We start from the raw sequence: 15912 nt of genomic DNA on the forward strand, positions 1-15912 counted from the left end.
GTTTTGAAGGCTGCCTTAGGTTGAAGCTAGGCAGAGTCTTCTGGGGCACAGAGGGGCCTGGGACACCTGCCTCTTCCCGATGCTCAGCCCTCAATGCCTTCTGGCCTTGGATGGTCCTGGGCTGGTGAAAGGTACAGCTTCCATGCAGCCCTACTTTTCTGTACAGTGCCAAACTGCTACATACAAAAACAACTATAGATATATATTGCAGACAGGGTCTTGCTCTGTTGCCCAGGCTACAGCACAGTGGCACAATCACAGCTCACTGCAGCCTCAATTTCCTGGGCTCAAGCGATCCTCCCACCTCAGCCTCCCGAGTAGCTGGGTCTACAAACGTAGATATAAATATACGTATACATATTTTTTTTCCTTTTTTTTAGAGACAGAGTCTCGCTATGTTGCCCAGGCTGGTCTCAAACTTCTGGGCCCAAGCAGTCTGCCTGCCTCAGCCTTCCAAAGTGCTGAGATTACATGTGTGAGCCACTGTGCCCGGCCAGAAACTACAAATCTGTATCAAGACTTGCGGAGGCTCCTTACCCTCCCCTACCTCAGAATAAAGTGATTCAGGACATCATGAGTAGGTTTTTATACAAAAATATCAAACGTTCTGTAATGCCTTTCCAAGACTCACAGAACGTGCGGTAGAGTCCCTCTTCTTTCTGCCAAAGGAAAACTGAAATAGAATCATTTCCATGGATCTAGGGGAAATTTTTGAGACTCAAGAAAATCGTGACCTTTCTCATTTTTACTCTGCACCACGTTCATTTAACAAGAGTGCAGAAACCTCCTCGTGAGAGGTTTTACCAGAATCTGTTCCCCTCGTCACATTCACCATTGTTTTAACCTTGATTGCCAACATTCTATTTCAGAGTTGTATAGCTAAGTCTTATCAGCTTATCATTTCTGATACGGCTTCAGCAGCCTCTTCCACTGAACATGGTTGAGATAACATTTCTCAGAGAGACTTAACAAGTGAACTAACTCTTTGCCTAAGAGATGGAGAAAGTGAGCTCCTAGCAGAGTTTCTGAAGTAAAAGATTCCAGTTGCTGCTTCCCCAGGAAGGAGGGTCCTGGGGAACTTGGGGTGACACAGGGCAGCTGTCTGGGCCCCCTTCAGGGCAGGAGCACTCCATGGTCCCCGGCTGCCCAGCCCAAATGACAGTCCCGGGCTGAGGTTCCCCAGGGGCAGCCCACGTCCAATGGCCGTGCAGGGGGTTTAGAGGTGTAAATGTCCGGCCAATTTCCTTGACAGGGGCCATCTGAGGGGCTGCCATGCTCCAGGGCCCCCCGAGAATCAGCCGAAGCCTCCATCGTGGCCGTGTGACCGCTTGGCTGCCCCCTGCCCCATCCTGTCCTGGGGGTGCCCCTGGCCAAACCCTCACACATAGGTCTCTCAAGTCCATGCAGCTCCCCCGCCCTGGGCAGGCTCCTGTCCAAGAGGTCGTCTGGGTCAGAGATGCCCACTTCCTCTGGCCTTTGTCACCTCTGCCTTTTACTCTGCAAGGTTTTCCTGCCTTTGAGGAGGGGGTCACCTGTCCCGCCGCACTCCTGCTGGCCCCTCCAGGCCCTCCTGTTTGAGGAGAGGAGCAAACGTAGAAACAGTGTCTAGTAAGAATAAGGGCCCTCGCCCAATTTATTTTCTGCAGGGAATCAGAGCGAGAAAGTCATTTTCCTCCCAGATCCTGAATTGGAGGCACCCTGCTCTTGAATAAACCCAAGGTGACATGTCCTCATTTCCCACTGACGATGCACGCGGGGTCTCCTGAATAATTCTGTCTCGGGGGCTTATTTTCCGTTTCAGCTTAAAACGCTCCCTCATAAACAGATCATCATCAAGTCACGTTGTCCCCTGACATTGTAAGTAATAAACAGGGTAAAATTCACGCCAGGAAAATTCTAAGAACATAACGATCAAGAAATGAACCCAAATAAAGCCATGCAGAGTCACTTCTGGGGTAAATGGTTTCGAAAATTCTTTTGCAGAAATAGAATTTCTAAAGATTGAATCCAGTGGGCTCCCTGGACCCGGGTGGGAAGGGACTGGCCCCCTTTCTGCGGGCTCCGGGTCCGGATGGAGAGTGCCAGCTGCCCCACCTGGTGGCGGGTCTCCACGGACAGCCGAGCGTGCGCAGGGCTGTGCTCACAGTCATGAATATTCATGTCCTTCTGTTAAACAGCCTATGTCAGTCGGTTTACATACATAGGAGAGCAGTGCCTACCATTTTATTTTTTATTTTATTTATTATTCATTTATTTATTTTGAGATGGAGTTTTGCTCTTGCTGCCCAGGCTGGAGTACAATGGTGCAACCTCGGCTCACTGCAACCTCTGCCTCCTGGGCTCAAGCAATTCTCCTGCCTCAGCCTCCAAAGTAGCTGGGATTACAGGCACCCACCAACATGTCTGGCTAATCTTTTTTTTTTTTTTTTTTTTTTTTTTGTATTTTTAGTAGAGACGGGGTTTCACCACGTTGGCCAGGCTGGTCTCGAACTCCTGACCTCAACTGATCCACCCGCCTCCATCTCCCAAAGTGCTGGGATTACAGGCGTGAGACTGGTATGCTCACCGTTTTGAAAATTTAAATGGTATAAAAGAAGACAACACCAAAAGACAACACCAAAACCTCCCCTCCCCCTTGCTGGCCTTCCACTCAGGCCGCTCACACGGGTCCTGACATCTTCGTGCGTGTTCTGCCAGGTGGCACGCCAGCCCACCCTGATTCTGAAAATGCACCGGGGTGACACTTTACATCATTCTGCTGCAAGCGTTTTCCACTTTCTTATGCTCCCTGGACTCCTTCTGCACTGGGGCACACGGACCCGCCTCCCTTCCAGCAGAGGCCCAGAGGTGCAGGAGGTTCCAGGGTTCATTTCACTCTCCCCATCTGGTCACTTACGGGGGTTCTGCTTTGACAAGGTTGGAGCAGTCCTTGTTGGCGCGTGCCTGGACAAACTGCAAGTAACTTCAGGACGAAGGGCTAAGCAACACTCAAATGTGACCTGCAATTTATAGTTAACAGACACAGCAGGATGACCTCCCAACAGACACTGTGTCCTCCTGCCAGCAGGGTCTGGGGCGCCTGCATCCTTGGGTCCTCCCAGGGGACTGTGGAGCTTCCTTGTGTTGGGGGGAAATGTTGCCTTCTTTCACATGAGTTTCTTTGTTTTTGTTTTGAGACAGAGTCTCCCATCCCAGGTTCAAGCGATTCTCCTGCCTCAGCCTCCTGACAGCTGGGATTCCAGGTGTGCACCACCACACCCAGCTAATTTTTTTTTTTTTTTTTTTTTTTTTTTTAAGTAGAGACAGGGTTTCGCCATGCTGGCCAGGCTGGTCTTGAACTCCTGATCTCAGGCAATCCGCCCTCCTCGGCCTCCCAAAGTGCTGGGTTTACAGGCATGAGCCACTGAGCCCAGCCCTTGAGTTTTCTTTAATTATGACAATGTAACTAATTCTGTAAAGGAAAAGAGCAACAGAGGAACTGCTGGCTTTTCTTTATGAGCTCAGACTTTGGTCCCCAGCAGGCCCTCAGCCATCTCTCCCAGGCGGTCTCTCCACTCCACATGGAGAGTGACCTTCATGTGGTCCCACTGGACTCTTTGTGCCCTTCACAGAAGGCCAAGCAGAGGCCCAGAGGGGAGCAACAGCCACATAGGGACCCAAGAGCCCACCAGAGCCCCTCAGGTGAGACGTGCAGCCCACTGCACCTGTCCCTGCTGCCACCGCCCATCCACCCATGGACAGCAGAGCCCCGGGCTGGGCAGAAAGATGCCAGGAGTCCTCACTTCCTCCATGGCGGATAATGAAGGTGACCCTGCGTGCTGATCCCCGGAGGCACAGACTGCACAGTGAGGAGCCTGACTAGGGGGTCCCAAGGCCAAGGCCAGAGCCTCTCACAACAGGAGAGTCTGACAATGACAGACGCCCCTCCTGTTCCTCCAATGAAGGCCTCACAAGGCACTGTTGAGGCCTCCTAAGAATTTAATAAAAAAAAAAAAAAAAGCACCAACCAACCAATCTCTGAACATCGGTAGCTTCAAAAAAGGAGTACAAGTGTTCCCTGTTTTGAGAAACTATTATTACGTGCCACACACTCTGGCCCAGGAATTCCCCAAGAGCCCCAGGTCACACCCCTCCATGCCCTCCACTGTTCTCTTACTTTGGAATGCAGGGATTAAACTGGTGAATGATTATGAAATCTTAGAGTGGTAAAAGCTATTCCAGGCCTTACCCCAAAGCCAGAAACCACAAAAGAAAACTTGATTGATTTAGCTACAGAAGAACTTCAAACTTGTGTGTAGTAAAAAAATAAAAAGGCAGGACACAGTAGCTCCCATCTGTAATCCCAGCACTTTGGGAAGCCAAGGAGGGTGGATCACTCAAGCCAGGAGTTCAAGACCAGCCTGGGGAACATGGCAAAACCCCATCTCTACAAAAACATACAAAAACTAGCCAGGCGTGGTGACGTGCACCTGTAGTCCCAGCTACTGGGGAGGCTGAGGTGGGAGGATAACCTGAGCCGGGGGAGGTTGAGGCTGCAGTGCCATGATCACGCCACTACACTCCAGCCTGGGTGTACACAGAGTAAGACCCTGTCTCAAAAAAAAAAAAAAAAAAAAAAAAAGGTTGAACAAACAAAAAACCAAAATCCAAAGTCAAAAGAAAAATGACAGAAAAATAAATGCAATGTACAAGAGTATATTGTACTACTGTACAATATTCTGTGTTATTGTACTGTTGTACAATACACTTTTTTTCTGAGACAGAGTCTCGCTCTGTCACCCAGGCTGGAGTGCTGTGGCACCGTCTCGGTTCACTGCAACCTCCACCTCCTGGGTTCAAGCAATTCTCCTGCCTCAGCCTCCCGATTATCTGGGATTACAGGCACCCGCTACCACACCCGGTTAATTTTTGTATTTTTTAGTAGAGACGAGGTTTCATCATGTTAGCCAGGCTGGTCTCAAACTCCTGACTTCAGGTGATCTGCCCAACTTGGCCTCCCAAAGTGCTGGGATTACAGGGGTGAGCCGCCGCGCCCGACCATACATTGCATTTACGCTCTTGTACAGAGTAGCATACAGCACAGAGAAGAGCTAAATTCCTTACGGTAACAAGCTCTTAGAATCCCTAAGAAAAAGACACACAGCCCAACAGAAAAATAAAAAATGGGCAAAGAACACAGACAGGCAATATTCCAAATGGCCAATAATAAAATGAAAAGATGTTCAACATCACCAGCAGTCAAAGAAATTAGGATTCAAGTGATGAAAAGGGCTGTTTCGCCTATCAGACTGCCAAAGACATAACGCAATGACATATCTCAGGGCTGGCAAGAGGACAGGCAAGCGGGCATGCCCGCTCACCAGTGGGTGGACGGCAGGCTGGCCCCGCATTTCTGGAGGGCATTTTGGCAAAATGCAGCATAGTCTTTGGCCCGCCGGCCTCTTCTAGGGATTTGCCCGCAGGAAATGCTCAGAGCCGCTCTAAGGAGGCATCATGAAAGCTGTTCACCACAGCACTGTTTTAAAAACTGTGAAGCAGCATGCCAAAACCTTAACAGCCCATGTCTCTGGGAAGTCACCTTATTAATTAGATCATCTCCCCAAAGTTTGGTAATGAAAGAGTATTATTTCATGAGAAAAAAAAAATTGCTTTTTGAAAAAATTCACGAAGGCATTAAAACAATTCTTTAATGGGTTTCCTGACCCAAAACTGGCCCTCCAGCTTCCCAGGCTGGCATGACTAGAAGCACCCCTCCAAGGCAAGTCTCTGATTTTGATCCTATCAAATCTCTGACACTTTCTAGACAGGAACCGAACCCACAAATTCATCTCCCAGACACGTGTGGATCAGGGCCCAGGGGGCTTACAGAAGCAGCGCGGTGCCCCTGCGCACCATCTGCCCCTTCCACGAGTGGGCGCTGAGGGAGGATCCAGTCGGGTCTGCCCGTTCCCCGCCGCCCGGGGATGCTGAGCACACCCGGGCCACCGCCAGCCTCGGGCACACACCCTGGACCTTTTATAAAACAAAACTGGGAAGACTTTCAAGGTCACATGGTCAGTGCACAGCAGAAGCAGAAACAGCAGCGGCCTCAAGGTCCGGGGCAGTTCCTAGAAACTGTTCCCTCCCCCGAACCTGGCGGCAGGTGTGCTCGAGGAGCCGCCGCCCCGGGCAGGTCGTGCGTCCACTCCCCGCCGCAAGCTCGGGTGGGGCAGCCGCGGGGACACGCGGGGGCCGCCCCCGACCCCGGCCCAAGGCTGTGGGGCTGGAGGGGCGGGCGGGCCGGTCTCAGCCCGGAGCCCCGCGTGAACTTCGGGGAGGAACTCGGTTGGCGCCGGGGCCCCGCACGCTCCCTTCCCGCGGCTCCGAGCGCTTTCCCACGGCCACGCCCCCCGCGCCCAGAACTTCCCGGCGACCCCGCGCCCCCTGCGCGCCCCCCGGAGGTGGCCGCGGTACGGGAGGCGGGCAGCACGGGGCTCGGCCCGGCCCAAGCGCCTTCGCCCCGCACCCCGCGGAGGGGGCCGCGTCCGAACCGGGCGGGGCGGGGCGGGGGCGTCCCCGGGGCGCGGGCGCGGCGGCAGGTGGGCGCGCTCTCGCGGGCGGGGGTCCGGCCGGGCCGCGCGCCTCCCCCGGAACTCGGCCGTGCCATTCCCATGATGCCCAGCCACGGGCACGGCTTCCGGAGTGCGGCCGCCGCCGCCACCGTCCGGTAGGTCGCGGGGAGGGGGCGGCTTGGGGGGGTCGCCCCGCCCCCCGCCCCGCCCCTCCCCTCCCGCGCTTCCCACGGCGCGGCCCGGGCGCGGGGCGGCGGCAGCGGCGGCGCGCGGGGAGGCGGGGAGGCGGGGGGCCCGGCCGGACGCCCCTGCGCCCCCTCCCCGCGCCCCGGCCGAGGGCGGAGCGCGCTGGCCCTGCAGCCTCCGGCCCGCCCCCGGCCCGCCGCCTCCCCCGGGACGTGGGACGCGGGCGCAGGCGGGGTCCGCGCGGCGGGCGGCGGGGGACGGGCGGAGGTGAGCGGGTGCAGGGCCGGGGCCGGGGGGCTCGGGGGCTGGGAAGCTGGGGGGTCGGGGACAGGAGGGCCAGCCAGGCCGGGGCCGGCGCGCCGTGCAGGCCGCGGCGGGCGGGCGGCGGGGGCTCCCCGAGGCAGGCGGACGGGGATCGGCGCCGGGGCTGCTCCGTTCCCCGGGCGGGGATCCTGTCTCTGGCCTCCGTGCGACTCTCGGCCCGCGCGCCCCGCGCTCCTGGAGCCCCAGGTGAGGCGCAGGTGAGGGCCCGCGGTGGGGAGCTTTGGCCCGGCCCGGGGCGGCCGCTGCCCTCCGAGAATGGCCGCGGCCCGGCCGGCCTGGAGACTGCGGTTCACGCCCTGCGCCAGGCGGAGCTTCCGGGAGGGTGGCCGCTCTCCCGGGCCCCAAGCTCGCTAGTCCTCGGATCCCAGAAACATAACTCCGGGGGTGCAGACCTGCTTGGAGGCCCGGCCTCTTCCCTGGGAGGCGTTCACTCCCGCCGGGCCGAGGACCAGGTCGCCGATCCCAGCGGCTAGGGTGAGCGCGCCCTCGGGGAGGGGAGCTCCCTTGGGGGACCCTGCCCAGCCCGCAGGCCGTGAGTAGCCCAAGCTTGGGAGTCAGGGGAGGTCGGGCCGGGGCAGCCGGGAGGGGCTCACCTTGCCTTCAGTTCCCAAGCACAGGAAATGGCGGTGCAGCTTTGCTGGGGGACGCTTGTAGTGAGGTTGTAAAATTGCAGCTTCTGGAAGGCTGGGAGCTGAATTCTAGCCCACGCCCACTTCTGGGTGGCTGGAGCGGGTCCTCCTGCTGCCCCGCCCGCTCCTGCACCGGGGCTCCTCTCCCTGGCCTGCAGACCCTGGCCTCCCTACCCTGGGGGGAAACCCCACCTGGGAGGTAAGACCGCTGGCTGAGCTGCTTTTCGGCCAACCGAGAAATGTAGAGTATTTGGGGGCGTTTCTCACAGGTGGGCAGACTGTTAGGATGGCGAGGGCCCAGTGTGGGTGCTTTGGTTCTCTCCAGAAGGTTGATGTCTGGACCGAGAAGGTACCCGAGTGTTCTCCACCGCTTCCTAAAATCTGACACCGTGTGGCCTTGGGGTGCAGGTGCTGGGTGTCCCCACAGCCACCCTCAAGACCGTATCCTGAGGCAGCAATTTGACAAAGCCTGCACCTCTGGCTTGGGCCCACACCTATCTCTAAGGACTGATTAGGGGGCTTTTCTTGTTTTTTTTTTTTTTTTTTTTTTAGAGCCAGAGTCTCGCTTTGTCGCCCAGGCTGGAGTGCAATGGCTGATCTCGGCTCACTGTAATCTCCGCCTCCCTGGTTCAAGCGATTCTCGTGCCTCAGCCCCTGGAGTAGCTGGAACTACAGACGTGGGCTCCCACGCCCAGCTAATTTATGTGTTTTTAGTAGAGATGGGGTTTCGCCATGTTGGCCAGGCTGGTCTCGAACTCCTGGCCTCAAGTGATCCACCTGCCTCCACCTCCCAGAGTGCTGGGATTACAGGTGTGAGCCACTATCCCCGACCCAGGGGGCTTTTCAAGAATGATTCATCTCGCATAATGTTTTAAAGCCACAAGCTGTCCTGGGGAGACGACCCCCCTCGATTTTTTTTTTTCTTTCTGAGATGGAGTCTCGTTCTGTCTCCTAGGCTGGAGTGCAGTGGCGCGATCTCGGCTCACTGCAACCTCTGCCTCCTGGGTTCAAGCAATTCTCCTGTCTCAGCCTCCCCAGTAGCTGGGATTACGGGCACACGCCACCACGCCCAGCTAATTTTTGTATTTTTAGCAGAGGAGGGGTTTCACCATATTGGCCAGGCTGGTCTCAAACTCCTGACCTCAGGTGATCCACCTGCCTCAGCCTCCCAAAGTGCTGGGATTACAGGCGTCAGCCACTGCACCTGGCCAGATTTTTTAATACCATTCTTGAACTAGGTGATTTGACAACTTAGAAAACTGTTCACTGGGTGTCCAGGCCTTCTCTGCAACCAGTCAGAAGCTGTAAATGTGGCTAGTGGAGAACAGACTATTTCCCCAGGAAAACTCCCCTCCCCGACCTTGTCATCTAGTGTAAAGACACTGACTTGGGCCGGTTTTCTTAAGGTAGTATTTAAGGTAGTATTCTTAAGGTAGTATTGCTGTTTAAGGAGTCAATAGTCTTAATTTAGACGCTCCTCAGCCCAAGGCTAATGCAAATGTTTTGTCATTTATGTCATTTTGCAGAGGCAATTTGAATAACACCTACAGTAAGGCAGGCGTGGGTTTGCTAGCCAGTGAAAGAGCTCCTCTCGCATTGTTGGTCCCCCAGTGCTCTGTGTCAGTGGGGAATCTCTCCAGAAGGTGACTTTATGGGGGATGTCATGGGCTGCAGTGGGTGGCCAGAATTTGAGAACTAGCAGATAACGTCACATACGTGCCCCATCCCCATCACTTCAGCCAGCATCAGATCTGCTGTCCAGGATAGCTATACATTACTTGTGGTTAAATGTATTTGTCTTAATACATTAAGTTAAATATATTTGTACTTGTGGTTAAATGTCTTAGAGTAAGTTCCTTCAAAAGTTAATTTTGAGCCCTTAAGTTAATGATATTTCTTTCCAAAAAAAAAAAATTTATCAACTGTAGCTTCAGCCTGTAATTAGATGCCTCTGATTCTCTTTGATTCTGGTAGTCAAAAGTCTATTGAAAAAGCAGAGAGAGAATGCCTCGGTGTGTAAGTGGAGTGATGAGGACCTGATCTCTGGGCCGTGTGGGAACACTGGCTGCCATTTCATCACAGTCAACCTGGACTCACAGAATTTCAAGTAATTTCAAGTAATTCTTGTATTTTAGTTTCCCTTGTAGGGCACAAATTGGTGCTAGCAAATGACTTACTTCTGAATCTGTCTCACCCCCTGGTTAATTGCTGGTTACCCCTTTTGGGCTCACCTGTGTGTAGGTGGCCAGGCTCACCTTTTGTTTCTTTTTCTTTCTTTCTTTTTTTTTTTTTTTTTTTTGAGATGGAGTCTCATTCTGTCGCCCAGACTGGAGTGCAGTGGCATGATCTCAGCTCACTGCAAACTCTACCTCCTGGGTTCGAGCAATTCTCCTGCCTCAGCCTCCCAAGTAGCTGGGATTACAGGCATGCGCCACCATGCCCGGCTAATTTTTGTGTTTTTTTAGTAGAGATGGAGTTTCACTATATTGGTCAGGCTGATCTTGAGCTCCTGACCTCAGGTGATCCACCCGCCTCGGCCTTCCAAAGTGCTGGATTACAGGCGTGAGCCACCACACCTGGCCACAGCCTCACGTTTTTGTGAAAAGATGGTGGCATGTAAATACCCAATTATGTGCTTGTCAGGAAGGAAGCGCCTGGTTAACCGGAGAAAGCTCCTGGTAAAGAAGAATCCATAACAGAGGCAAAACATACTGGCCAGTTTTCGCCCACTGCTGAGGTCCTGAGGGCAGCCACAGCCTCTGAGCCAAGGGGAGTTCAGTGTCCATAAGCCTTGGAGGCTTGCTTGCACAAGAACCGCTTTGCACTGCAATTTTGGGGTAGGCAGGTGGGTATCAGAGCAATGTGTTAAGAATGAATAGCTGCGCAGTATCCCTGGTATTGTTCTAAGTGACTGCCATCCACCTGAGCTTCCTCCCTGCAGTGGCAATCCCCAGGCCATTCGTGAGCAGGTCTTCAAAGTGTCCCAAGCTCAGCCCAGCACTTGTGCTGAGGCAGCCACCTTTGGTCTGAAATCTGGCAGCGCAGGATGAGAAGGGGGACATCACTGTGTTCAGGGTGACTTCTGTGCTAGTTAGCTAAGAATAACAATGCAGTCCCATGCGACCACCTGGCAAATTTACATTTGACATTTAACATAGAGAGGGTTTAGTAAAAGCAGCCCTTCAAGATGTTTGGGGAAATAATTTCTGAGTGGCTCACATCATACAACTTTCCGTTCCAGGAGCTTGTCGGTTGGGTCAAGAATGAACCTACGCATGACGGCGTGCTGATCCTGGGTTTCTAGTCATCCTTTTTAAGCTGCAAAGAAGCATTTGCAGACGTTGTCTCATGGGTACCGCTTGCCAACTTTGGAGGTAAATAAAACCTCTCCCCTCTTACAGAGAAGGTGGAAGCCCGGAGTGAGAAGGGAAGAGCGGGGAGGTGATGACCGTGCGTGCCCCGGGCGGCACCGTGGAGGGTGGTTGGAAACATTTTCTTACTGAATCTTCCCAGCAGCCCCGGGCTGGAGCAGGTAAATTGTTCCTTTCCCAGCTGAGGAATCCGAGGCCCCAGGAGCATGAGTAAGTCGTGCAAGGACACCCAGCTAGCTGGACGTTGGGCTCCACCCAACTCTCTCCACTCTGTGAGCCCGACATGCTGTTCCTCTGGGGCCTCGCTTGGTGTTGGCAGCTATCGCTGTTTGTAGCTGCATCATGCCCATGTGCTTTCTTTCCGCCCAGGATGTGAAGCCGGTAGAGAAATAAAGCATCGCCCCTCTGCGCGCCCCTCCCCGTCTGCTAGAATGTTTCTCATGAACGCTTCTCCAGTGGTTGCTCTCCAGTCCAAATGGGAGGCCTTTGGCCCGCCAGGGAGCTGTAGGTTCCCCAGGTGCTTCTCGGAGGCTGACGAGGGCGTGGAGAGCGCGTCGGTGAGCGCCCGGGTGCAGATGCTTATCAGCACTCTGCAGCGCGACGGGGCTGCTCGGGGCACCAGCGATGAGCGCGCCGCACAGAGGGGCCACAGGGCAGAGGGATGCCACGACGCCAGGCCGGCTGCCAAGCCCACCGTGCACAAGGAGCCACCCGCGTTGGCTGTCTGTGGTCTCGTTGCTGACTTTGACCCCATGGGGGAGGAGGAAACTACAGACTTTGGCCCGTTGGTGCTAGATTCAGACAGTGATGATTCCGTGGACAGGGACATTGAGGAGGCCATCCAGGAGTACCTGAAGGCAAAGAGTGGAGCCGCACAGCCCGGGGCCGGCGGGGCCCAGCCAGGTGCAGCCCAGCCTTCCAGGGCCGCAGGCGGAGGCAGTAGATGTAAGCCGGAACCGGCTCACGGCAGTGCCCCGACTGCCCTGTGTCCCCCAAAACTTGTACCTGGATCAGGTGGTGGCCCCGGCAGCCAGGTGGGATCCAGCAAGGACCAGGGCTCCGCCTCCCCGGTCAGTGTGAGCAGCGATGACTCCTTCGAGCAGAGCATCAGGGCGGAAATAGAACAGTTTCTGAATGAGAAGAGACAGCATGAGACCCAAAAATGTGATGGGTCAGTGGAGAAGAAACCAGACACAAATGAAAATTCCGCCAAGTCACTCTTGAAATCCCACCAAGAGCCGCCTACAAAGGTGGTGCATCGGCAGGGCCTGCTGGGCGTCCAGAAGGAGTTTGCCTTCCGCAAACCTCCCCGGTTAGCGAAGATGAACGTCCAGCCCAGAAGCCTCAGGTCCAAGGTCACAACCACGCAGGAGAACGAGGGCAGCACGAAGCCGGCAACCCCCTGCCGCCCTTCAGAAGCAGCACAGAATAAAGGTGGGATCAAAAGGAGCGCCAGCGCTGCAAGGAGGGGAAAGCGAGTCATGAGTGCGGCACAGGCGTCCGAGGCGTCCGACTCCAGCAGCGACGATGGCATTGAGGAGGCCATCCAGCTGTACCAGCTGCAGAAAACACGCAAGGAGGCCGACGGGGACCTGCCCCAGAGGGTCCAACTCCGAGAGGAGAGAGCGCCTGACCCTCCCGCACACAGCACAAGCAGTGCCACAAAAAGTGCCTTGCCCGAGACCCACAGGAAAACACCCAGCAAGAAGAAGCTAGTGGCCACCAAGACCATGGACCCTGGTCCAGGGGGCCTGGACACTGACCATGCCCCCAAGCTCCTGAAGGAAACCAAAGCTCCACCTCCAGCGAGCCCTGCTTCCAGGAGTGAGTTTGTGGAACGGTCCTCGTGCCGGGCGGACACATCTGCTGAGCTGATGTGTGCAGAAGCAATCCTGGACATCTCCAAGACGATCCTGCCGGCCCCTGTAGAGGGCAGTGACGGGTCCCTGTCCGCAAGCCCACTCTTCTACTCCCCGAACGTGCCTTCCCGCTCTGACGGCGACAGTAGCTCCGTGGACAGCGATGACAGCATCGAGCAGGAAATCCGGACATTTTTGGCCCTAAAGGCGCAGTCAGGGAGTTTGCTGGCCAGAGGTGAGAGCTGCCCGCAGGCTGCCCAGGGTCCACTTTTGCCGCCTGGCCTCAACAGCCAGACCGGCGGCCACAAGACCCCTCTCTCTAAAACACCAGACCCACTGCTGGGCTGCAAAAGGAAGCGTAGAGGTGGTGGCCATGTGAGGCCATCCACGCCCAAGAAAATGCAGGAGGTGGTGAAAGACGGTAGCCAGGATGCCGACCACAGCCAGGGGAGAGCTGAGCCCGGCCATGAGAGGCGAGACCTGCCCATCCAGGGCAAAGCCAGTGAGGCCCTGGGAGGGGAGGGCACCGCCAGGGGCCCTGGCGACACTCGCATGTCACAGGGCCAGGGTAAGACAGACGAGGCAAGGCGCCTAGACGAGAAAGAGAGCTCTGAAGACAAAAGCAGCTCCCTGGACAGTGACGAGGACCTGGACACAGCCATCAAGGACTTGTTAAGGTCCAAGCGAAAGCTCAAGAAGAGGTGCAGGGAGCCCAGGGCTGCGTGCAGGAAGAAGGTCAGGTTCAGCACAGCCCAGACGCACTTCTTGGAGCAGCTGGGCGGGCTCCGGAGAGACTGGAAAGACAGGGGCCCGCCAGTGCTGAAGAGCTGCCTCTCCAAGTCCAAGAGAGACAGTGGCGAGGGTCCTGGGAAGAAACCCCCCAGTGTCTTTGGCAGCACGGCAGAGAGGATGAGGCAGGAGGGTGCCGCGAGCCAGGACGCGGCCCTGGCCTTCCGGGTGAGGAGACCCGCCTCCGCCTCTGCCTCCGAAGGGAATCCATTCCCCAGGGAGTCCCAGGGCCCAGCTCCCAGCCCCGGCTCCCTGTCTGATGACAGCAGTTCAGTGGACAGCAACGACAGCATCGAACTGGAGATTAGGAAGTTTTTGGCGGAAAAGGCCAAGGAGTCAGTGAGCAGTTCAGAAGTTCAGGCAGAGGGCCCCACCGCTCTTGGGACAGGGGGCCCAGCCAGGCCAGAGGTGCTGTGCAGGAAGGAGCCTGCCCCACCGCCTGGCGTGTGCACACGCAGCCAGAGGGCCAGGGGGGTCCCACATCTGGCCGAAGGGCTTCGAGGCACAGAGAGCGCAGGAGCACAGGGCACAGCTGGTCTGTTCAGCCAGGGCGGGAAGGGGCTCCCTGCTGCTCCTGCCCGAGGGGATCCGGTGCCGCCCAGGAGCACCAGCGGCGGTGTCTCCGCCAAGGGGCTCTCAGTGAGCAGGAGAAATGTTTACGTTCACAAAGACCAGAGCCCACGAGGGGCTGAGCCTGCTGCCAAAAGTGCTTTTGGTCAGCTGCCCAGCTGTGCCACAGCGGGCACCGAGGCAGGAGGCGCCAGAGGAACCTTTCACATGGGCTGCGGGAGCCCGAGCTTCCTGACCCCCAGCCCGGGAGCGGAGAGGGACGCTGGAGCCCAGGCCGACCGCACACCGCCCTGGAGCGACTTCGCCCACCAGAGTCGGCTGCCCAGCCCGTGGGTGCTGCGCTCCGAAGGCAGAGATGCAGTGTGGAGGGGGGGCGTCGGGAGCGAGAGAGACAAGGGGTCCGAGGGCCCCGCCCGGGGCCTGCCCAGCCTGCCCCTTGCGGGCTTCTCGCCGCTGCTGTCCACCCAGCTCTTCCACTTTGGAAAGGGTGTCTCCTGGGGGGGCAGGCAGGCTGGCCTCTTCAGCCCCCACCTGGGGCTGCCTCTGCAGGGCCCCTCCTTCTCGGCCTTCAGGGAGGCCCAGGCCGGACCCAGCCCTGTCTTTGGAAGCCCACACTTGCTGGCAAAGAAGGACGGCGGCCCCTGGCCAACCAGGAAGGCACAGGCAGGGCTGAGTTTGCATGACAGGAGGAGCTCGGGCTCGGAGGAAAGCATTTTAGACCTGAGGTATCGACGAAGGGTCAACAGGGATGACCAGGAGCAGGACGCCTTGGGCAGTGACGCCAGTGACTTCAGCGACACCTCCACGGAGGACAGTGGCGGCAGCTCAGTAGTGAAGGTCTAAGCCCTCGAGCTGTGGGTTCGCGTCCTGGGTTGCGTGCATTCGTGGAAAGCGGCGTAGCCGTGCGTGTGTGTGATGGTTCCGTGGCTGCAAGGAAGGGAAACAGTCTATTATACATAGCCCTGTATATATGTACACCAACATGAAACTTTTATTTAACAGACGTGTCCTGGTAAATATGATTTTTGTAGCTTTTTGTAAATTATTTAAAGTGATGTAAAAGATATTTTTGGAAAATACTGTTGTTCAATTTTGTAGGGTGTTCCTAACTGCAGTTTTCTGTGTTCTGCATACAAGTCTTAGCTTAGGAAACATTTGGTTCTTACCATCACAGCCAGGTTCACAGAGGCTCTGATGCTTTTTGGTTGATTGCTGGTGAGAATGGCCGGCGGTGGCTGCAGTGGTAGCCTGAGGAAGGCCAAGCTGCCCTCCCTGGGAATCACTCAGATGCCCCAAGATGTCCGTTGGGAAGCTCCCAGGACAGCACTTTTTATACAGAGGACACCGCCTCGGCCCCACGTCCTTAGAGGCCAGAGCACATCTGAAAACTGCAATCACAGCCGTCCGCTGGAAAAACGTTTCGAAGCACAGTGGCCAGCGAGCGAGCACGTGGCTACTCCCTGTTGCATGTCAAATCCACACAGATGTCAGCGGCAGCTGCTCGGCAGCCCAGCCCTGGGCCTGGGTGGGTTCATGTCCAATCTTGTTCGATCACTAGATGATTCTAACATCGAAATAAACCTCTTTTTATATGGCGTTACTGTTCTTTTTAAATCATGGTTCTTAAAGATAA

The 15912-nt window shown here is 56.1% G+C and overlaps 1 protein-coding gene across 26 annotated transcripts, besides 2 other annotated features; it reads left to right on the plus strand.

The window, feature by feature from the left end:
* The first annotated feature begins 6047 nt into the window (after positions 1–6047).
* On the plus strand, positions 6048–15874 carry PPP1R26 (protein phosphatase 1 regulatory subunit 26). 26 transcript variants are annotated; one of them, XM_047424216.1, is made up of 5 exons: positions 6048–6093; positions 9665–9797; positions 10334–10535; positions 10932–11064; positions 11431–15874. In XM_047424216.1, the coding sequence occupies exon 5, from the start codon at positions 11493–11495 to the stop codon at positions 15120–15122; it is 3630 nt and encodes a 1209-aa protein (XP_047280172.1). In that variant the 5' UTR covers positions 6048–6093; positions 9665–9797; positions 10334–10535; positions 10932–11064; positions 11431–11492; the 3' UTR covers positions 15123–15874. The 26 variants fall into 26 exon arrangements, with proteins under 26 accessions (XP_047280172.1, XP_016870847.1, XP_016870849.1 ...); XM_017015360.3 differs by lacking the exon at positions 6048–6093 and adding an exon at positions 6645–6706 and having other exon boundaries at positions 9665–9807; XM_047424224.1 differs by lacking the exon at positions 6048–6093 and adding an exon at positions 6645–6706 and having other exon boundaries at positions 11204–15874.
* Positions 7286–7345: a silencer, noted in NCBI's record as "silent region_20483". NCBI's record gives its function as "represses an Ori minimal core promoter by ATAC-STARR-seq in GM12878 lymphoblastoid cells {active_cell/tissue: GM12878}" and the evidence as "EXISTENCE:reporter gene assay evidence [ECO:0000049][PMID:35858748]".
* Positions 7356–7405: a silencer, noted in NCBI's record as "silent region_20484". NCBI's record gives its function as "represses an Ori minimal core promoter by ATAC-STARR-seq in GM12878 lymphoblastoid cells {active_cell/tissue: GM12878}" and the evidence as "EXISTENCE:reporter gene assay evidence [ECO:0000049][PMID:35858748]".

This window comes from Homo sapiens, chromosome 9 (genome assembly GCF_000001405.40).
Source record: "Homo sapiens chromosome 9, GRCh38.p14 Primary Assembly".
Lineage (NCBI taxonomy): Eukaryota > Metazoa > Chordata > Mammalia > Primates > Hominidae > Homo > Homo sapiens.

Excerpts from the sequence above, each read along its gene's own strand:
- PPP1R26 (XM_047424216.1), top strand. The coding sequence starts at position 11,493 with ATGTTTCTCATGAACGCTTCTCCAGTGGTTGCTCTCCAGTCCAAATGG.